We start from the raw sequence: 23,288 nt of genomic DNA on the forward strand, positions 1-23,288 counted from the left end.
CTGTATGCAATTCAATTCAAGCAACTAAAAACAAACCACAACAAACAATCAAACAAAAACAACTTCTATCTGAAAAATGGAAATTGTTCAAGACTGGTAAACTGTTAGGAAATGTATCTTTTGCTGAATGAAAACTGTTTGTTGCAATGATCTGCTTAACAATACTTAATTCTGAGTTCCAGGAACTTAGATTGAAATTTGAGGGAAAAGGATGAAAGACATAATGCTGTACTGGGGGCTAGTCAAAGGGAGATGTAGGAGGTGGTATGTGAGTCCTTGGTAGATCATATGCAAGTCAGTATATTTAGCCTTTAACTATTAATAAATGCTAAGCAAGGCATAACTATTCCCTTTACGTTTTCAAAAGGTTCTGCAATACCCTATCCCAATTTGGTCAATTCATCTTCATTTCACATTTCTATCTTCGTATGTTTGTGTTTACTTTTCCTTCTTGTTGGAAGATCTTTACCTTTTTTAAAATTTGTATTTAAAAAAAAAAGAGATGGAGGTTTCACTCTGTTGCCAAGGTTGGATTTGAACTCCTGGGCTCAAGTAATCCTCCCCCTTTAGCCTCCTGAGTAGCTGGGACTACAGGTACATATATGTCATTGTGCCTAGTTCACCTTGAAAACCCCTACATGTCATTTAAGACCATACTTGACTGACTTTTCCAAAACATCCATGTTCAGGATGTTTAAAGTGACCTCTTCTTCTTCTGTCACCCCATAGAACCTAATTTCTAACACTCATGGCACTGATTTGCATATGTATTTATAGGTCTTTCTCTCTCTGCTTTCAAAGTAAACATCCCTTGAAAGCTTGAACTATGGAGTTACGCATACCTGGGTTCACATCCCAGATCGAGCACTTGCTTGCTGTTGGTTGACTGACTCAGTGGCAGTCCTAGCACCACTTGTCCTTACATACATCCACTCCAGAGTTTGGAAAAGCCAGGCACTTATGCTCTTCACATCCTTTAAATCTAAGGGTGGTCAAGCAAACCAGTTTGGAGCAATGAAATGTAAGACAGTTGGGGACCCTTGGGAAAGCTTGTGTTTCCCTATAAAAGCAACAGGTATGTAAGTCATGCACACTGGAACTGTTCCTGCTTTCCTCCTGACTGATACGTGGTGACTGGAGATCGACCAGCCATTTTGTAGTTATGAAATTACCATAATAATAATGGAAGCTGACCTGCTAAGGATGTTGGAGCAGAAAGATAAAAAGAGCAAGGGTCTTCAGTGGCATCCTCTTGCTCCTGTACCAAATCTGGAAATGCCTATCTTCAGAATCCTTTTTATGGAAATTAAATGTCTCTTATTTAGATCACTTTTAATAGAGTTTTCTATTGCTTGCAGCCAAAATTATTTCTAGATAGCTGTATAATCTAGGACAAATTAAACTCTCTAAACTTTAGTTTTCTTATCTATAAAATGGAGCTAGTGATAGTGACCTAACAGAGTTGATGTGGTAATTAATGAGGTCATATTTTCTGACTCGTGATGAGCAAGTCAATGTTTCTTTCTCCTTCCTTTATATGGTATTGTTTGCCAGAAAGCATCTATCACATTTTTTGTACAAAAACAAGTCACAGTAACTTTTTTTTCTTTTTTGAGACAGAGTCTCACTCTGTCGCCTGGCTGCAGTGCAGTGGCACAATCTCGGCGCACTGCAACCTCCGCCTCCTGGGTTCAATCGATTCTCCTACCTCAGCCTCCCGAGTAGCTGGGGCTACAGGCGCCTGCCACCACACCCAGCTAATTTTTGTATTTTTAGTAGAGACGGGGTTTTACCATGTTGGCCAGGATGGTCTCAATCTCTTGACCTCGTGATCCACCTGCCTCAGCCTCTCAAAGTGCTGGGATTACAGGTGTCAGCCGCTGTGCCCAGCCTAAGTCACAGTAATTATCATTTGAATGAGTAAATGAATATTAGAGTAAAGCAGCTGAACAGACTTTGCAAGATAAGCCACTCTAATGGCTTCTCACAGCCTTTTTAATGGCTGAGTAGACAGTCTTTCTCTGCCTCTTGAATCTGACTTGGCTCTGTTACTTGCTTTGGCCCATCAGGGGAGTAGCAAACATGATGAAAACAGATGCATGAAAGGTGATTGCACCCTGGGGCTTGCTCTCTTGATGCAATTAGAACCCTGCAACCACCACATAAATAAGCCCAAGCTAGCTGGTTGGATGATGTAAGAGAACCAAACTGCCCCAGCCAGCAGGCAGCCAACACCAGACATGTGAGTTCCGGCAGGCCACATATGCATGAGTAAACCCAGCTGAGAGCTGAAGAACTTTCCACCTAAGTCCAAAGGGCCAGCCAACTTTGAGCTAAGTGAATAGTTGTTGTTTTAAACCACTAAGTTTTGGGGTGGTTGGTTTTACAGCAAAAAATAAATGATCTAGAGGAGCTCTGAAGTGAATAAGTAAGCATCGGGGTCTCCAGATGTGTCACCTGGAGAAGGACATCATAGCACTTTTGTAGTGTTACAGCTGGGGTCCAGAACCTGAATCCAATCATGAAGAAATATCAGGTAACCTCACATTGAGGAACATTTCTATAAAACAAGCGGCCAGGATTCTCCAAAATGTCAATGTCTTATAAGATAAAGGAAAGCTAGGGAATGGTCCTAGATTAATAAAGACTAAAGAGACATGATATGTAAGTACAATATGTGATCCTCAACTGGATCCTTAATGGGAGGGAAAAAATGCTACAAGGACATGATTGGCAAAAATGTCAAAATTTGAATATGGATTGCAGATAAGGTGGGGTTATTGCATCCATGTGAAATATCCTGAATTTGATAACTGTACTATGGATATATAAGAGAATATCTTTGTTCTTGGGAAGTATACACAGAAGTATTCAGTGGTAAAGGAGCATGATGTATGTAACCTACTCTCAGATGACTTAAATTATTGTAATATTTAAAAATATATTTATATATTTATATTTATAAATATAAAATATATATAACAATAACAATATCTATATAGCTATATATTTGTATTAATATCAAATATATAACTATATATTTATATATAAATATTTCATATATTGTATAATATAGAACTATATATTGACAAATATATCAATATATAAATGGAGATATATTTATAAATATATCAATAGATATATATTTATACTTATATATCAATGGATATATAGTTACAATCTATGTATAACTATATAATGTATAAATATATAATTAAATATATAATTTATACATAGATTATAAATATTAATAAATGTCAATATAAATACAGGGCTGCTGATCTCCAGCTTTTTGCTCCTGGTCACATGTTAGCTACTGCAGCTCCAGGCATTATATTCTTGAGTGATAGCATCTGATGTGGGAAGAAAGAAGGAAGTAGTTCAGAAGGGCCTTTTTTTCTGAAAAGAAACTCTTGCCTATGAGCATCCTAGCAGATTTTCACGTATATCTTATATTTTATATCACTCACATCTCATTGGCCATGCTCTCCCCTCAGCCAGTCACTGGAAAATGGTGGGGAGTGGGAGTCAAGCCCCTGCAGGGGGTGGTGCATCACTGTCCAAACTGCAGAGAAAGAGGGACCAACACTTTCTACACATTCCATGTAAGGAGGATTCTCACTGCGCAGGACCGTTGGGAATTGCTTCATGCACTGCTCATTAGCACGTGCTTCAGACACTGCAGTTTTCTTTATTAAACTCCAGAGAACCAAAATCTAGGACTCAGGAAGGAAAGGGGATGGTCCAAAGTGAGTTTTTTTGAGATGGTTGTGAAAGTTTTTTGCAGTAAGTTGATTAGAATGCCATCCAGCTCAGACCGTATTAAAGAACACTGCTTGTAAGACCCAGAGACTCTCATCCACAGTCTGCTCTGTACCATGAAAAGCTTTCTTTTAAAAGAGAGGTCTGCCTTTGGATTAGGTGAAGCACTTTTTGACAGAGTGTTTGGGGCCAAGGATATATACAGCTGGAGAAATGTTTCAGGCAGGAGATTGATCTTTGGGCAGAGCTTGGAAAGTCAATCATCCGGTGGCGAGTCTCCGAGGAAGCAGTTCAAGTATCGTGACTGGAAAGCAGGGGATGAAGGACTACATGCATGGTTGGAAGAGAAGAAATCGGAATTTACCTAGCTGTGCTGACCTTTCTAGGCCTGCTTCTGGATGTGCAGTGTCTCAACAGGATACTGCAGTGCTTTTATTCCTGCATGTCCATCATTGTAACTAACAATCAAGGGACGTGGATGCCTTCATTCAATACCACTGCTAACTACTAGACCCATCAGTTCACTCAGTAGGTTTGTGTGTATATTACAGTCAAATCTAGCGTGAAAGTCATTTTGGAACGATAAAACCCAACATTCAGAAGAGAAATCTACTGTTATGTGAGCACCTACCTACACAAACCATTTTACTGGCTTTCGTGGAATAATTATAGTCAACCAGGAAATCAGCAATGACAACATAGAAAGCACACAGATGTCAGTAGCACTTCCTGATGTTTTGAAATACCTTGAACATAGCCGTCCTCAGTTAATGTTTCAGCATGAATCTAGGGGAACATCTACTGGGTGTAAACTTAAAGTCAAAACATAAATTCAAGTCCCAATGTTTATGTGATCTTGCTCGAACACTGTTTATCTTTTCAACATAGATGATACCAGTTTGACATTTCCCATAGGAACATTGTGAGGATAAAACTCAAGATAATATAGGTGAAGTTCTTTGTCATTGGTGAAGTTCTGTAATATATGAATGTTGGCTGGGCGCAGTGGCTCACGCCTGTAATCCCAGCACTTTGGGAGGCCGAGGCGGGTGGATCACAGCGTCAGGCGTTCCAGACCAGCCTGGCCAACATAGTGAAACCCTGTCTCTACCAAAAATACAAAAAATTAGCAGGGTGTGGTGATGGGCACCTGTAATCCCAGCTACTCGGGAGGCTGAGGCAGGAGAATTGCTTCAACCTGGGAGGCAGAGGTTGCAGTGAGCCAAGATTGTGCCATTGCACTCCATCCTGGGCAACAGTGTGAGACTCTGTTTCAAAAGTAGTAGTAGTAATAATAATAATAATAATAAGAAGAAGAAGAAGAAGAAGAAGAAGAATGTTAATTGCTAGGTTGTTTTAGTGTTCCTTGTAGCAGTTGTTTTGGAAACATGCGAGTTCATTAAATTGAAGAATTCCTAGAAGTCAACCCTTTTGACAAGGAAGGAAAAATATACTTACAATAATACAAAACTTTTTTTTTTCAATATGTAGTAGTTCAAGCATTTCACTTGTCTCTTGTAACAAAACAACCTATGAGGAGAAACCTGAGGATGCAGGGGCTGTTTGCATTTCCAGAGCTCAGTCATTGGGGAGGAAAATAAAATAGAAAGACAGAATGTTGAAGCAGAAGTGGTGATAAGATCCTGGGCCTCAGGGGACTTGCGACGCTGTGCCTGCTGGTGCCCTGTATACAGTAGAACTCAGCGAATGGTGACCAAGGTAGGGGTCAATGAATAGAATATTCACTTGTTTCTGTTACTTTGTGTGTTCCAATTCTCTCCTTTCTGAGATATCTTTTCAGAAATGGCACCCCCAATATCACTACTGTTAAATATCACTTTATAATATGATAGATAAAATCTCTCACAGATACAAAATTAAAGAAAGTCATCACTTGTATTGAAAACTTAAAGTATGAAATTCTTCGGAATACTATCCATTTAAATTAAGTAAGTAAACTAAAAAGTGGGAAAATCTTGAAACCTTTCCTACCATACTATTCTGTTGTTTCTTTGCAAATATTTACTGAGCACTTGCTATGTGCCAGTGTTCCAGCCACTCGAGATGGATCAGTGACGAAAACCAGTGAAGATGCTGCCCTCATGCACTGCAGGCTAGCAGGGGAGTCTGAAGGTCAACAATAAGTAAATGAAAAGGCTGTAGCGTATTAGAAGATATTTTCTGAGGAAAAGAGGGCAGAGTTGAGGGGGTTTGGGAGAGTAGGTTGATGGAGAGGTTTACAATTTTCAAGTGGATGGCTGGGAGACCTCACTGAGAAGGGGATGTTGAAACAGGGACCTGAAACAGATGGAAGACCGTTACCCCGGACATGACTGCCCCAAAAGGGGTGTGACATTGAATGTACCTGTATGTCTCAAGGCTTTAAGGGGACCCGGTGGCAAGAGGAGAGAGAGCAGTTGGCAGATACCTTTTGTTACGCTGTGAAATGTTAAGCAAAATTATTCTGCAGTAGTTTGTATTTCCTTAAGGAAGATTTAGAATAGAACCTTAGTTAACTATTTCTAAACTGAGCCAAATCATACACTGTTCAGAGCTGGGAGGGACTTGAGACACCCTATCATTGCTGTTCTTCATTTTATGAGAGAAAAAGCTGAAGTCCATTGAAATGATTGGTGGTATAATGGCTCAATTAGTGTATCTCAGTGTTTTCAGAGACAGATGTGGTGATGAGAAAAAATATATGTATGTTGTTTTCCTTTCAGAAAGTGACGAACACATGAAAACTTTCTTCAAAATTTTAAATATCTACATCCTCTGAGATTTTATTTTTTTGTGATAAAATGTTACATAATATAAAATTAGCCAGTTAAGCCATTTTAAGTGTACAATTCAGTGGCATTAATAACATTTACAGTGTTGTGCAACCATCACCACTATCTATCTCCAAAATATTTTCATCGCTTCCACGAGAAACTCTGTACCCATTAAGCATTAACTCCCCATTCCATGCTCCCTCCAGTGCCTAGTAACCTCTAATCTGCTTACTGTTCAAGATATTTCACGTAAGGGAAAGCTTAGATTTTTTTTTGCCTGGCTTCTTTCACTTAGCCTGTTGTTTTTGAGGTTCATCCATGCTGTAGCATGTATCAGAACTTCATTCCTTTTTAGGGCTGAATAATATTCCATTGTGTGTAAGTAACATATTTTGTTTATCCATTCATCTGTTGACAGACACTTGAGTTGTTTCCACCTTGGGACTATTGTGAATAATGCTGTTATGAACATCGGTGTGCAAGTGTCTGAGCTCCTTTACTCAGTTCTTTTAGAGATACACACACAGAGGCATATATACATATATAGAGACACACATATGTATACACACACATGCACGCACACACACGCACGCATACACACTTGCACGCGCACACACACACACACAGAGACTGAGAGAGAGAATTGCTGGGTGATATGGTCAAATTCGTGTTTAACTTTCTGAGAAACTGCCAAACTGCTTTCCACAGCAGCCGCGCTACTTTACATTCTCAACAGCAATGCACAGGGTTTCAGTTTCTCCACATCCTTCTCAACACTTTTTATGATTATTTTCATTATTATAACCACCCTAGTAGATGTGAAGTGGTATCTCATTGTGGTTTGTATTTATATTTCCCTGATGACTGATAATGTTGAGTATCTTTTCATGAGCTTATTGGCCATTTGTCTATCTCCTAAAATTCTGTCAGTAACATTTTATAGTTTTCAAGGTACAAATATTTTGCCTATTGTTCCATTTATTTCGAAGTACTTTATTTTTGATGCTTTTGTAAATGCAATTGTTTTCTTAATTTCCTTTTCAGATTGTTCATTGTTAGTGTATAGAAATGTAAATATGTGCAACATTTTTATGTGTCGATTTTGTATCATGCAACTTTACTGAATTTGTCTATTAGTTTAGACAGCTTTTTGTGTGTGGATTCTTCAGGGCTTTCTACATATAAAATTATGTCATCTGCAAATAGAGATAATTTTACTTCTTCTTTTTCAGTTGGGATGTCTTTTATTTCTTTTTCTTGCCTAATTTCTCTGGTTACAACTTTTAGTGCTATACTGACTAGTAGCGGTGACTGTGAGCATCTTTGTCTTGTTCCCGATCTAAGTGAAATTTATCTAAGTGGAATGAGTGAAAAGTTTTCAACTTTCACCATTGAGTATGATGTTGGTTGTGGGTTTTTCACACATTGTCTTTATTTTGTTGAGGGCATTCCCTTGTATTCCTGGTTTATTGAATATTTTTATCATGAAAGGGTGTTGGACTTTGTCAGATGCATTCACTGTATCAATTGATATGGTTATGTGGGTTTTATTTCTTTTATCCTATTGTTACAGTATATTACATTGATTGATTTTTATATTTTGAGCCATTCTTGCTTGCACTCCTGGGGTAAATCCATTTGATCATGGTATATGATCCTTTTAATGTGCTACTAAATTTGGTTTGCTGGTAATTTCTTGAGGAGTTTACATCTATGTTCATAAGAGATATTGGTATGTGGCTTTCTTGTAGTGAGCCCCTGTGAAACTATCTTTACTTTAAACCTCTAGTTTTAATTTATCTTTTTTTTTTTTTTTTTTTGAGACGGAGTCTCACTCTGTCGCCCAGGCTGGAGCACAGTGGCGCGATCTTGGCTCACTGCAAGCTCCACCTTCCGGGTTCACACCATTCTCCTGCCTCAGCCTCCCAAGTAGCTGGGACTACAGGCTCCCGCCATGCCTGGCTAATTTTTTGTATTTTTAGTAGAGATGGAGTTTCACTGTCGATCTCCTGACCTCATGATCTGCCCACCTCGGCCTCCCAAAGTGCTGGGAATACAGGCGTGAGCCACCGTGCCTGGCCTAATTTATCTCTTTAATTTTAATTTATCTCTTTGGTTTTAATTCATCTTTCTTCATTCTCATGTTATAAGTTCTGAAAAAATAGGAGTGTCTGCTGGGAATGTCCTTCCTTTTTTATAAGTAAGTCAAAAATAAGCTCTGCCACTTATTAGTATGGTGAAGATAAAAAAGCAGAACCCTATAAGGAGGTCAAGAATGCAGAATATTAATATGTTGATACTCTAATCCCTTTACATTCTCATTCATAGCCACAAGTACAATGAAAATCAAAATAAATATTATATTTCATCTCTGAAAGATTGATGTGTTTGGACCTGACCAATGTAGCCTGGTGTCCATGTAGCCTGGTGTAAATTATGTTCTCAAGTAAGGATTTTACTCTGTCTCCAAAAGGTTAAATAGGTCACTGATTAGAATTATAGATAAAAGAGTACTTGTCTTTCCAGGTTTCTCAGGAGAGAATGAGAAAGATCTTCTCACTGTAGAAGCTTCTTTGAATAGGCACAAGAAGTTACATCTGGCTTCACTTAAACACCACTTGCCTTACAACTTGTTCTAAATCTTCAGAAAGGATTAGTCTGAAAAGCTAATTTTGTTGGAAGTTGAGAGATAATCATGTACATTTCAGACACTGTTTGAAACTTAATTTCCCCCCACAATTACTCACCTTCTAGCGTTGACTGATGAAAGTATAATGGTATAAAGGTACCCTTTTTTTCTGTGGCTCAGGATCATCACACACCCTGAGCTGAAGGCATACAGGCTGCACTTGCCTTGATACAACCCAAGTACACTGCTGCTTGCATATAGACCCCAGTTTCATATTCCACACCTGGCCATTCTCAGCTCTTTCTCCAGTTTTGAAGTGTACTTTTCCTGCATGATGCTGTACAGGACTAAGGACTCTGGGGATAGAGGTTTGAGAAGTATCCCTACCCCTTCCCCAGTGCCTTCCACAGACAGCACAGACATCCTGTGCCTTTGAAGGGATGGCATTGAGCAATAACATTTATTTTTAGTCTTGCCACAGTGCTCTTTGCTCCCTCTCCACCCCAGACCCTACACAGAGCTGCGCTCCTGTTGGAGATGTCCCAGGCCTCCTCTCGAGTTGGAGATGTCCCGGGCCTCCTCTCGAGCTGGAGATGTCCCGGGCCTCCTCTCGAGTTGGAGATGTCCCGGGCCTCCTCTCGAGTTGGAGATGTCCCGGGCCTCCTCTCGAGTTGGAGATGTCCCGGGCTTCCTCTCGAGTTGGAGATGTCCCGGGCTTCCTCTCGAGTTGGAGATGTCCCGGGCTTCCTCTCGAGTTGGAGATGCAGACAAGAGGCCACATGCAGAAGCACTGTGCTTTGGGCTTTCCTTTGCAAATGCTTCCCTCTCTGACGCTGTAGAGGCAGAGCTTGTAGAGCCAGCTGCTGCTTAGAAGGGTCGCCCTGTGGGATTAGAATCTTTCAAGTTCTAAGATAAATTTTGTTACTGTCCTTTCACACTGATAACTTCTCACTGTCCTCTTTTCTATTGCCATTCTCCTCCTCCTCCACTTTCTCCTCTCCTTTTTTTTTAAAGTTTCCCTTCTCTGGATTCTTCTCTTACATCTTTTGCTTCTGTGCATAGGCTCGCCCTCTTAGGAAGATTTTCAACAATTATAAATACAAAAAATGTTCTTGCATGGGATGCTCAATACTGTACAGACTTTCATTAGTCAAAATGCCTAACTGCTTCCAATCCTGCATATTCTGTCTAATTGGGAACATTCCTCCACAGTGAGTTCTGTACTCTGGTGACTCTAGTTTACTGGAACTCACTAGTTTTGGAATGAGGCAAAAAAAAAAAAAAAAAATACTGCCTTAAAACCCTGTCAGACCTGGGTACTTGGCAACAAATTACAGCTGAGGAGTGCCAAAGACCTGAAAATTATACCTACCTTGGTTGACAGTACCTTTAAGTGTCTATGTATTTATGACTCACTTTCTTCCATAAAGAATTTGAAGTGCCTTATTAAAGTACATACCCGAGGATAAAATAAATAGTTGAGATAATCAGGGCAAAGAGGAAATGCGGATAAGAAAATAAAACTGGAGCAAAAGTCACAAAGAGAAATGTACCCTGAACAGTTGTGCAGTTGTAGAGGTGGCCTCCAAGGTTGCCTCTAAGCTCCGATGGGGCCAAAGTAAAAAGTGAATTTTGACCGATTATGTAGCACATGGCATCCTTAAAATTAAAAAAATCCAGTTGTCAAGAAAAGGAAGCCTTTTCTGTTCCCAAGATCCGAAGTCATTTTCTTAAATCTAAGATCAATTTATTTCCTGAAGCCTCCTACAGAAAACTATATGATAGAGTGGTCACGTCCTTCACAGGAGTCGCCAGTATTGTCTTACTGATGGAATAGGCCAATGACACAATGCAGGGGTGCGATTCAGAAGAAATAAATCGAAAGGGAACCAAAACAAAATGTTTTAAAGGTAAAATTTGATGCAACTCAGCAAATGGACACCGTATCCTTTCTTGCAACCCTCCATGAAAATTGATTGTCACAGGCAAACTTTTTATTAGGATGATTATGCGAATGAAAGGTTGTAGGCAGTGGTAGGCAGCTGAAGTCCAGTTGCTCTCTGTTCCCCATGAGGGTCTGGTCCATAAGCTTTGACACACAGGTGGTGGGATTTTATGTGCCCGCGGGAATGACCCCCTCAGTCACCTCAGCACTGGGTCCTCTCAGGTAGAGCCAGTCTCCTCTCTTTAGAAGAGGGTGTCCCTACTGACAGCCACATGGGACTGAGGCCCTGGAGTCACGCATATCCCCAGCACAACCATCAGCCTTCCTTTCCCCCATCAACCTTTCAGTGTGGTCCTGCCAATCATCCACTTAGGCCAGTGAACATTTCTTTTTTTTTTTTGAGACAGGAGTCTCGCTCTGTGGCCCAGACTGGAGTGCAGTGGCACGATCTCGGCTCACTGCAAGCTCTGCCTCCCTGGTTCACGCCATTCTCCTACCTCAGCCTCCCAAGTAGCTGGGACTACAGGTGCCCGCCACCATGCCCACCTAATTTTTTTTGTGTATATATATATATATGTATATATTTTTTTAGTAGAGACGGGGTTTCACCATGTTAGCCAGGATGGTTTCAATCTCCTGACCTCGTGATCTGCCCGCCTTGGCCTCCCAAAGTGCTAGGATTACAGGTGTGAGCTACCGCACTCGGCCAACCATTTCTACATTTCTAATAAACCAGCTCTAGAACATCTGACTTTTAGCAGTGTAGCTTTGCAGTGAGCCTTCTGAGAAAAGCAATTGGAAGTTGTATTTGTGAAGGTAACTGTTTTTATCTTTTCAGTGAATTCTTGGATATTAGCCAATGTGATTAATGACTTTAATTTTAAGACTCATTGATGTTAAGCCATTCTGTATGGCAGTAATGGAATGGCAGGAGCAACTATCTCTTGTGGCCATTTCAAATGCGAAAAACTGAATTCTCATCATCAGCATTACTCCCAGTGTGCAGCTTACCTCGTCACACAGGACAGCCCAGCCTCCCCTCGCCGTGTTCTGCAGATGTGATTTCCAGCTGGCGGTGCTCCCTCTGCTCCGTCTCACCCTGCTCCATTCAGAAGACGTGCCACATCAGTCTGGAAAAGCAAGTCCTCCTTTACTCTGAGACATATTACAGTGGAGCCTAGACTGCCATCATCATGGCAACCATGGGGCTCCCTCTTATGTGAAGTTCGTTCGCCCTTTACCTGAGCCATGTTTTTCACCTGTCCCGCTTGGCAGTGCATGCGTGGGTCCGGCCTCTTCAGGACTGCTGTGCTTGGCAGCTCCCTGGCTCAGCTGGGAGGAAGATAGCAAATGGGAAATTTCTCTGTTTTTCCATAACTTTATGATAATTCGATTTTGGACTCATACCTTTATTTCTTATTGTTTCTGATATTTCTATTTTGACAAACATAATAGAATGTAGATTTACCTTTTAGATGGTATTTATTCCCTTCAATGCTGTTACTTCTGAGCATTTTGTGATCATTTCCATTTCTCATCTGTGAAACTGGTATTCAGTGTCTAGCAAGCAATGAATGAAGCATTTAGTGCTTTTTTTCTTCTTCCGTACGCCTTTAGCCTCCCAACCCTTAATTGTGAACATCGTGTAAACTTTGCTTTTCAGAACACCAGCCCTTTTTTGCTTTTCTCTGAGACATCATTCATTCGCACTGTCGTGTCTTCAGCTTTGTGCTGTGAGAGTGACTCAAAGAATCCACTGTGTGGGAAGCACATGTTCTTCTCATTAGCACAGATATATGTCTAAAACTCGTTTATGGAGTAGTCAATACTGTGTATGACATTGTGTAGGGACTGTTTTCTCAGAACTCTCAGGTTTAGATGGGGAGAGAAACTTGTAAATGTGATAGTTGCTAATAGAAATATGTACAGCGTGTTTGTCACGGGGAAATGAAGGTAAACTTAATGCTTCAGGGTCAGAGGAAGAATCTCACAGTCAGAATACTTCAATGAAGTTTTAGAGGACCATGACAGGTTACTTTAGGAGAGGGGCAAGTGTTAGGAAGATCCGCTATATTATGACAAGGACATATGATGTTTAGAGAACTGTGGATAATCTGAGGTGGTGGGCCCAGCACCAGGTGTGAGGGGCCTTTGGTGCTGTTGTTAGGGGTTATATTTTCTTTCCCAGTCATAATTCTCAGCTTGCAGTCTGCAGATTCCTAGGGGGTCTATGGATCAGCACTTAGAATATGTAAGAGTTTGCTATGGAACGTCTTAACTTTGTGGGTTTAAATATATATGTAAGCTATATTGGCATGTTCTATATCATTTAAATCATTACACCTCAAAGTGTGGTGCTCAGAATGGTGCTGATCCACAAACTATCAGTTTCCAGTTCACAAGGAGATAACCACAGAGGCTGAGAGTAACCGTTGAGAAACTTACAGCAATTTGACTTGGTACTGCCGTGTCATTCAAGTGTAGTATGTTTGAAATGCCAGTTTGTTGAAGTAGTATTACACACAACAGAATTCATACTTTTAAAACATAGCTACATGAGTTTTGAAGGATATATACAGTCATGTAAACACCCCACAATCAAGATAGAGAAAATTTCCATCTCCTGGAAAAGTTCTCTTATGTCCTACCAATCTGTTATCTGTCTCTATAGTTTCGCCTTGTCTAGAATGTCATGAGAATTGAATTCATATTGTAGATAATCTTTAGTGACTAATCTCTTTTTGTTAAACATAATTCTTTTGAGATTCATGTATTTTGTTCTGTATAGGAATAAGTTATTTTTATTACTAGGTCATATTCTGCTATCAGAAAAGGGTCCTGATCCACACCCCAAGAGAGTGTTCTTGGATCTCGTGTGAAAAAGAATTCCGGGCAAGTCCGCAGTGTAAAGTGAAAGCAAGTTTATTAAGAAAGTAAAGAAACAAAAGAATGGCTACTCCATAGACAGAGCAGTGGCATGGGCTGTTCCACTGCATAATACTTAGGGTTATCTCTTGATTATATGCTAAACAAGAGGTGGATTATTCATGAGTTTTCCAGGAAAGGGGCAGGCAATTCCCAGAAGTGAGGGTTCCTCCCCCTTTTAGAGTATATAGGGTAGTTTCCAGACATTACCATGGCATTTGTAAACTGTCATTGTGCTGGTGGGAATGTCTTTTAGCATGCTGATGCATTAAAATTAGCATATAACCAGCAATGAGGAGGACCACAGGCCACTTTTGTCGCCATCTTGGATTTGGTGGGTTTTGGCCTGCTTCTTTACCATATCCTGTTTTCTCAGCAGGGTTTTTGTGACCTGTATCTTGTGATACCACCCCTGCTGACCTCCTATCTCATCCTGTGACTCAGAATGCCTCACCTCCTGGGAATGCAGCCCAGCAGGTCTCATCCTTATTTTACCCAGCTCCTACTCAAGATGGAGTCACTCTGGTTCAGATGCCTTTGACAATTCTACTATATGGATATACCACAATTTCTCCATTCACTGGTTGATGGACATTTTGGGTGTTTTGGGGTTGAGCTATTCTGAATTAAGCTGCATTGGACTTCCAGTGCACATGTTTCCATATCTTAGGTAAATACTTAGGAATGGAATTGCTCTGTCATATGCTAAGTGTCTGTTTAATTCAGGGTTTCTCTGTTTCATGTTTTGGGTTGGATAATTCTTTGTGGTGGGAAACCATTCCGTCCATTATGGGATCTTTAGCAACATCTTTGGCCTCTACCCACTAGATGTCAGGATGCTCCCCACTCCCAGTTTTGATCACCAAAAATGTCTTCAGACCTTACCAAATGTCCCCTGGTGGTTAAGATGGCCCCCAGTTGAGAAATATTGGTTTATTGTAAAAAACTACCAAACTGTTTTTGAAACTACCAAAGTGGTTTTATCATTCCCACCCAATAATTTACGAGTTCTAGTTTCAATGTGTCATATCTTAATTTTTATTCATTTAAATATATTTTCTGATTTCCCTTGTGATGACTTCTTTGGCTCATGTGTTACTTAGAGAAGTATGTTGTTTAATTTCCCAATATTTGGGAGATTTTTCAGATATTTTTCTGTTGATTTCTGATTTATTTGCATTTGGACATAGAACTTTTTTTGTACAATTTCAATCCTTTTAAATATTTGAAATGTATTTTGTGTTCCAGAATATGGTCTGTGGTGGTGGATGACCCATGTACACTTGAAAAAAATGTCAATTATGTTGTTGTTGAGTGGAATGTCATGTGCATAATTTTATATGTGACCAAATTATCAGCCTGTGATGTGCTGGAAATGTTTAAAAAGTTCTTTGCTAATGACCAGTGCCTCTCCATCTGTCTGTAGCTTATAGCCTGTGTTCCCATTTGTCTTGATGATTGCCTTGATGCCAAGTGATAACCGCAGGTGCTGGTGTTTCACTTATAATGAAGCCTTTTCCCTCCTGGACTTTGCACACCTAATCCTGAAGCTCCATGAATGTTCTGGTTCAGCTAGAGCGAATGGGGATTTGTGAAACAATTATAAGGGTTTTCTGTTGTTGGTGGTGGTTTTTTTTTTTTTTTCTCACTCTGTGGACCAAGCTGGAGTGCCATGGCACAATTTCAGCTTACTGCAACCTCCACCTCCCAGGTTCAAGCAGTTTTCTTGCCTCAGCCTCCCGAGTAGCTGGGATTACAGGCACACGCCACCATGCCTGGCTAAATTTTGTACTTTTGGTAGAGACGGGGTTTCACTGTTGGCCAGGCTGGTCTTGAACTCCTGACCTCGTGATCTGCCAGCCTTGTCCTGCCAAAGTGCTGGGATTACAGGCGTGAGCCACCGCTCCTGGCCAAGTTTTTTATGTTTTAGGAAAACATTAAATGCAAGGTAGAAATGAGAACAAAATGTTTCTTGTGGCTCGTTGAGACGAGTCCTGCCTGTATCTCCAGAATCCACTCCTCAGCCTTCCCGTGCTGCATCCCGTCCCATTGCTACTGAAGAAACTCCTTCAGTCTGGAATTTCCTATCACTTTTCTCTACATTTTGAATCTGGATTAGTTATGTTTGTTTGTTTGCTTTTTTTTTTTTTTCTGGGTAACAAATTACACTTAGTGGCCTAACATAGCACGAATTGACTATATCATAATATCCTTGCATGAGGAGCCTGGCTATGGATTGATAGGGTCCCCTGATCAGGATCTTACCAGGTTGAAATCAAGGCAGAGGCAGGGCTGTGTACTCTGAAGCTGGGGTGCTATCATCAGCTCACTCCAGCTATTGGGAGAATTTGTTCCGTCCCACTGTAGAAGTGAAGTTCCCATTTTCTCCCTGGCTGCTGGTGCCTCTCTGAGCTCCTTTAGGACTTCTCAAGGGCCCGAGCCATGTGGCCTCTTCACAGCCAGGAGGTGGATCTCTCTCCAATCGGCCAAGATGGAGTCCTAGATAAAAAGTAAAGCAGTCACAGGCTTAAATTCCCATTGTGTTCCTAGATCCCACCCATACTCAACGGGAGGAGTTTACACAAGGCATGTGCATGCGGGGTGGGAGTCTCCGAGGCCATCTCAGCCTACCACAGGATCCTACTCATCTGTTAGTGTCCAGTTGGAATTATATCCTTTCATGAGCTCATTTCATAAGCTTTCCTGCAGTGTGAACTGCTCCTTTGCCTGCCTTCATTCTGCAGTTTCTATCTTCCCTTTTACACTGCCTCAGTTTGTGAAGTAAACCCTTCTAATTTATGGCACTGACACAATCTGAGCAGGACACTGTACCTTTGGAGTAGGTGGTGCTAGTTATACCCCTCGTCTGGGCCTGCTTGTGTTCTCTGCAATGCTGAAGTGGCTGTTGGTAAGAATAAGCATTATGGTGTTTAATAAAACTGAGGTTCTTAAAGGCATGACGTATGTACTTTCTTCATGTAAGTTCGTTCTAAACATGTTATGGCCACTATGGCATGTTTTGAATGTATCTCATTATCTACTACACTTAAGGACAGAGACCGTCTTTTCTTTCCACTCTGTAACCTATATTCAGTGGGCTAAATGTTTGAATCAGAGCAAGCAAAGACTACAGAAAAATCATAACTCAGTTCAGGAACCAGTGCTTCAGAAAGCCTAGAATGTAATCAGAAATGAAAGACAGTACTCCAGACAGTATGACTTCAGAATCCGTTCATGAGGGCAGTCCGGAATATGGAGATGAGAAAGCGTGGAAGATTGGGCACCCTCATGGATGTCTTTGTAGCGGCTGCCCAGTGCCTTTGCCCGCTGGTAGGCATCTAATTAGTGTCACTGATAACTGTCAGGGAGTGGTATGAACCTATCCAATCTCGATACTTTTTAAAAACAACTATTTTGTTTCCTAATCACAGCTGGTGCTCAAGACCGAATCGGCTGGGCTTTTGGCCTAGGATTAGAAAGGCTAGCCATGATCCTCTACGACATCCCTGATATCCGTCTCTTCTGGTGTGAGGACGAGCGCTTCCTGAAGCAGTTCTGTGTATCCAACATTAATCAGAAGGTGAAGTTTCAGGTAAGATGACTTGCAAGAACTGAATAGATAATAATAAAAATGGCTGTCAAGGATCGACAGGATCATGTACTTGAAAGCCACTGAATTTTATTTTATTTATTTTATTTTATTTTCATTTTACTTTAAGTTCTGGGATACATGTGCAGAACGTGCAGGTTTGTTGCATAGGTATACGTGTGCCATGGTGGTTTGCTGTGCCTATCAACCCGTCATCTAGGTTTTAAGCCCCACATGCATTAGGTATTTGTCCTAATGCTCTGCCTCCCCTTGCCTGCCACCCCGCAACAGGCCCCGGTGTGTGATGTTCCCCTCCCTGTGTCCATGTGTTCTCATTGTTCAACTCCAACTTATGAGTGAGAACATGTGGTGTCTGGTTTTCTGTTTCTCTGTTAGTTTGCTGAGAATGATGGTTTCCAGCTTCATCCATGTTTCTGCAAAGGACGTGAACTCATTCTTTTTTATGGCTGCATGAATTTTAAATAATGTGAATTTGTAAAGAAGTTCTGGCCAGGCATGGTGGCTCATGCCTTTAATCTCAGCACTTTGGGAGGCCAAGACGGGTGGATCACCTGAGGTCAAGAGTTCGAGACCAGCCTAGTCAACATGGTGAAACCCTGTCTCTACTAAAAATACAAAAATTAGCTGGGCATGGTGGCACGCACCTGTAGTCCCAGCTACTTGGGAGACTGAGGCAGGAGAATCACTTGAACCCAGGAGGCAGAGGTTGCAGTCAGCTGAGATCGTGCCATTGCACTCCAGCCTGGGCAAAAATAGCGAAACTCTGTCTCAAAAAAAAAGAAGTTCCTAAATAGAGGTCCATAAACACACAAGGGGTTCATAAACCTTCAGAAATTTTATGCAAGAGAAAAGATATTTGTCAATATTATTAGTCTAAGCAGAGAACCAATTTTGTACTTTTTTTTTTTTTTTTTTTTAGACAGAATCTCACTCTGTCGCCTGGGCTGGAGTGCGCGATCTTGGCTCACTGCAACCTGCGCCTCCTGGGTTCAAGCAATTCTCCTGCCTCAGCCTCCTGAGCAGCTGGGATTACAGGCGCCCACCACTACGCCCAGCTAATTTTGTGTATTTTTAGTAGAGACGGGGTTTCACCATGTTGGCCAGGCTGGTCTCAAACTCCTGACCTTGTGATTCGCCCGCCTTGGCCTCCCGAAGTGCTGGGATTACAGGAGTGAGCCACTGCGCCCAGCCCTCATCTAGTATCTTTTCCAACAATTCTACTCCATTCATTTTTCAGAATGAAGCTGCATATATGTTAGACCATTTGATCCTATGCCATAGAACTCTGATGAAAGGTTTTTTTAATTAACGATTTTCTTTTCCTGTGTGCTTTATTTTTGATAATTTTTATTGTCTTCTCTTTGGGTTGCTCATCTTTTTTTTTTTCCTGTTTTGTCCAAGTAACCATTAAGCCCATCCAGTGAATTAATCATTCCCCAGATAACTGTATTTATCAATTCTAGAATTTGCATTTGCTTCCTTTTTAGAGTTTTCATTTATCTACTGAAATGCTTGATTTTTTCATCCATTTCATCCATTCTTCCTTAAATTCTTTCACATATTCATAATGGTTATTTTATTTTATTTTATTTTATTTTATTTATTTATTTTGAGACGGAGACTTGCTCTGTTCCCCAGGCTGGAGTGCAATGGCATGATCTCAGCTCACTGCAACCTCTGCCTCCTGGATTCAAGCAATTCTCCCACCTCAGCCTCCCGAGTAGCTGGGATTACAGGCATACACTGCCATGCCTGGCTAACTTTTGTATTTTTAGTAGATACAGGGTTTCACCATGTTGGCCAGGCTGGTCTCAAACTCCTGACCTCAGGTGATCTGCCCATCTTGGCCTCCCGAAGTGCTGGGATTACAGGTATGAACCACTGCGCCCGGCCTCATAATGGTTATTTTAAAGTACTTGTCTGTTAATTCCAACCATTTGATTATCTAGTGTTCTTTTGTTGTGGTTGTTTTCCCTTCCTAATCATGGCTTACATATTTCCTGCTGCTTCACTTGTCTTTTTGTTTTTTTTTTAATTGTGTTTGAATGGACAAAGACTGAGGTAGATAAAATTTATCCCCAGAAAGTCTTATGCTTTCTACCTTCTGGCTGCTAAGGTGACTAGGCCAGATCTTTTTGTTCTAATCAGGAGTTGAGTTGAATTTCACATCTGCTTTCCTCTTGATGGTGAGATCTAGCCCTGCAGCAGAGTTTGGGATCTAACCATGTGAGATCACAGGATCTCTTTCTGCTTTCCATCCACTTACCAGCTTCTTCCACCACCAGCGTTTGTAAGCAGAAATATTATGAAGGAGAATTGGCTGGCAGTGAGGGTTAGCTCTGTTTCTCCATTTTCCAATCTGCCATGCCAGCCCATGCTTGGCTGACGCAAGTGTGGCTCATTCTTCTTATTCCAACAAAATGTCTTTGCCAGTAGCAGGCTAGCTCTTCTGCCTACTCACGCCCCAGTGGCGACAGCAGCCATCAGTGTCTGTCTACCCTAGAAGGGCTCATCTCTCTCTGGAGTTATACTTATTTATATTTGTGTACAGACCTTTTCAACTGTATTAGTCCATTTTCATGCTGCTGATAAAGATATACCCCAGACTGGGAAGAAAAAGAGGTTTAATTGGACGTACAGTTCCACATGGCTGGGGAGGCCTCAGAATCATGGCGGTGGGCGAAAGGCACTTCTTACATGGCAGCAGCAAGAGAAAATGATGAAGAAGCAAAATCAGAAACCCCTGATAAACCCATCAGATCTTGTGAGACTTAATCACTATCACGAGAATAGCACAGGAAAGACCGGCCCCTGTGATTCCATTACCTCCACCTGAGTTGCTCCCACAACATGTGGGAATTCTGGGAGATACAATTGAAGTTGAGATTTGGGCGGGGACACAGCCAAACCATATCATCAACTTTAAGGACAGGTATGATTTTTATGAGTGTATTTTGTTATTGTTATAGTGAAGCACACTGATTTTGTGTGTGTGCCCATCTGCATCTTGAACCTTTCTATGTATATATGCATATATTTTTGGTTTTACCTTATGAGGACTTTTAAAAACTTCTACTTGAATAATTATCTGTTTTATTTTAGCATCAATTTCCTTGTAGACTAATTTGAAATAAAGCTGTATCTAATTTACAATAAAACCTGGCTAGGGCTGTAACTTTTTCTCATTCTCTTTTTAATATATTGTCAGTTATTTAATCAGCAAACATTTAAAGAACACCAACATCGTGTAGAATGGTGTGCTCAACACCATGGTGTGACAAATAAAGATGAAAAACACAGTTGCCACCAGAATTAAGTGGCTTAAATTCAATTTTAAGTGTACTTACAACAATCTTTTTTTATGAGACACATAGAAATAGACTCTTGATCTCTTGCACTAAATGTCATTTTTTTTCTCCTTTCTGCCTTCAAATTTGAAAGCCAATATATGCATACCTGCACTAATATATAATTTTTATAGTTGTCTTTGTGTAACAAACTTAAGAACTTCTAACGGGGCAATTAGGATTTGTACATTCATATTTAGTATATGTTCATAAAATACTTTGTGAAGTATAGATTATAGATCATACTATTACCTAAGTATTCACTTATAATTAGTATCTATTCTTGTTAGTTTCCTGTTGCTTAGGTAACCAGTTACCACAAATCTAGTAGCTTAAAACAACATGTATTTATTATTTTACAGTTCTAGAGGTCAGAAAACCAAAATCCACCCAACTGGGCTAAAGTTAAGGTGTCAGCAGGGCTGACTCCTTCTGTAGGCTCTTGGGGGAATCCACCTTCTTGACTTTTCTGGCTTTTTTTTTTTTTTAATTATACTTTAAGTTCTAGGGTACATGTGCACAACGTGCAGGTTTGTTACATATGTATACATGTGCCATGTTGGTTTGCTGCACCCATTAACTCGTCATTTACATTAGGTATTTCTCCTAATGTTATCCCTCCCTCTTCCCCCCACTCCACGACAGACCCTGGTGTGTGATGTTCCCTGCCCTGTGTCCAGGTGTTCTCATGGTTCAGTTCCCACCTATGAGTGAGAACATGCGGTATTTGGTTTTCTGTCCTTGTGAACTGTCACCTTTTCCGGCTTTTAAAGGCCATCCTCAGTCCTTGGATCACAGCCATGCATCATGTTGCCTTTTCTCTCTCCTTCATCTTTTGTCACATTGCCTTCTCTTTGACCTTTGCTTCTTTCTTATAAGGATCCTTATGATTGTATCAAGCCTTGCTGGGTAATTCAGGATAATCTTCCCATCTCAAAATACTTCTCTTAAAGTAATCCTTTAATACTTTAATACAAATTAATTCTCTAATACAAAAGGAAATGTAAATTTCCTGTTGAATATAAGGTAATGTATTTCTAGGTTACAGGGATTAGGACGTAGATATCTTTGGGTAGGGTTGGGGGCATTTTTCAGTCTACCAGAGTCTTCCCTTTGACCCCTAAAGATTCACATCTGTCTTTTGTAAAATACATTCAGCCTATCCCAAGGTCCCACAAACTCTGAACCCATTGCAAAATCAACTCAAAATCCAAAATGTCATCTAAATATCATCAGCCCCTAAGTCCCATTTCATCATTTAATTATCTAAAGCTGGTTTATGTGACACTCTGGGTATGATTCATCCTGGGGCAAAATTCCTCCCCACTTTTGCACCTGAAGCGAGGTACCTACTCCCAAAATACAATGAGTAGGATAGGCATTGGAGAATAGTTGTAGACATTTCCATTCAAAAAGGGAGAAAATGAAAGGAGAAGAAAAAGAATCACTGGTTCCAAGCTATTTCAAAATTCAGCCATTAGGTTTCAAGGCCTGGGGATAATTCTCTGTGGCCCTTGGCTTCACCCATTTGACCTGTATTTCTACCCTCTAAAATATCCTTCTTTTTTAAAGTTCTTTTATTTATTTATGAGGCCAGGTCTTGCTCTTTCATCAGGCTGGAGCCCAGTGGTGCCATCACGGCTCACTGCAACCTCCACCTCCCAGGCTTACATCTCAGCCTCCCGAGTAGCTGGTACTACAAGCACATGGTACCACGCCCAGCCAATTTTTTGTGTTTTTAGTAGAGAAGGTGTCTTGCCATGTTGCCCAGGCTGTTCTTCAACTCCTGGGCTCAAGCAGTCTGCCTGCCTTGGCCTCCCACAGTGTCAGGGTTACAGGCATGATGAGCCACTGTGCCTTACCTCCTTTTTTGTTAAGGGTGGCATGTATATGCAGGTGAGTTGTTTTATTACCCTGGCTTTTGCCTGAAGAATTTGGGGAGTCAAATAGCCTTCTTTCTTTCCTTCTCTTTTTGTTCTTTTGTCCCTCTCAATTCCAGCTGACAGTGTTCCTGATGGTAAATCATTCTCAAAAACCTTGTGGCTCTCCCATTTATATCATAGGGATTCATTCCATTACACAAGAGGCTCCTCTGCAGATCTTTCTTGAATAATTCATTGCTATTTCTGGCTTCTGCTGAGACGCCTGAGGGGATCCTTGACTCATATGCTTAATTTCTTCAAAGAGCCCTCTGTTTGACTAAATACCCTGATCCTTCAAAACTTCTGAGGCATTAACAAAGGGTTGTATAGCTGCACTCATGGCTTTCTCTCCAAAGCACTTTTCTTTCAGCAAA

The 23,288-nt window shown here is 40.8% G+C and overlaps 1 protein-coding gene across 19 annotated transcripts in view, besides 2 other annotated features; it reads left to right on the forward strand.

Moving 5' to 3' along the window:
• Positions 1–23,288, forward strand: part of FARS2 (phenylalanyl-tRNA synthetase 2, mitochondrial) — a 521,650-nt gene that overhangs the window by 277,780 nt on the left and 220,582 nt on the right. For 15 of the 19 annotated variants that reach the window (XM_047418086.1, NM_001374878.1, NM_001318872.2 and 12 more), the window contains one exon: positions 17,467–17,627. In XM_047418086.1, the coding sequence (XP_047274042.1) occupies positions 17,467–17,627 (161 nt within the window). Of the gene's footprint in view, positions 1–17,466; positions 17,628–23,288 lie in introns of those variants that run through there. The other 4 variants (XR_007059197.1, XR_007059196.1, XR_926027.4 and 1 more) reach the window with 1 other exon arrangement.
• Positions 1,668–2,277: an enhancer, noted in NCBI's record as "NANOG hESC enhancer chr6:5529614-5530223 (GRCh37/hg19 assembly coordinates)". NCBI's record gives its function as "activates a minimal SCP1, AML or CMV promoter by ChIP-STARR-seq in primed H9 embryonic stem cells {active_cell/tissue: H9 hESC(primed)}" and the evidence as "EXISTENCE:reporter gene assay evidence [ECO:0000049][PMID:30033119]".
• Positions 13,749–14,948: an enhancer, noted in NCBI's record as "P300/CBP strongly-dependent group 1 enhancer chr6:5541695-5542894 (GRCh37/hg19 assembly coordinates)". NCBI's record gives its function as "activates an origin of replication core promoter dependent on BRD2, BRD4, P300/CBP, MED14 and CDK7 cofactors, with strong dependence on P300/CBP, by STARR-seq in HCT116 cells {active_cell/tissue: HCT116}" and the evidence as "EXISTENCE:reporter gene assay evidence [ECO:0000049][PMID:35650434]".

Source organism: Homo sapiens, chromosome 6 (assembly GCF_000001405.40).
Source record: "Homo sapiens chromosome 6, GRCh38.p14 Primary Assembly".
In the NCBI taxonomy this organism is placed as follows: Eukaryota; Metazoa; Chordata; class Mammalia; order Primates; family Hominidae; genus Homo; species Homo sapiens.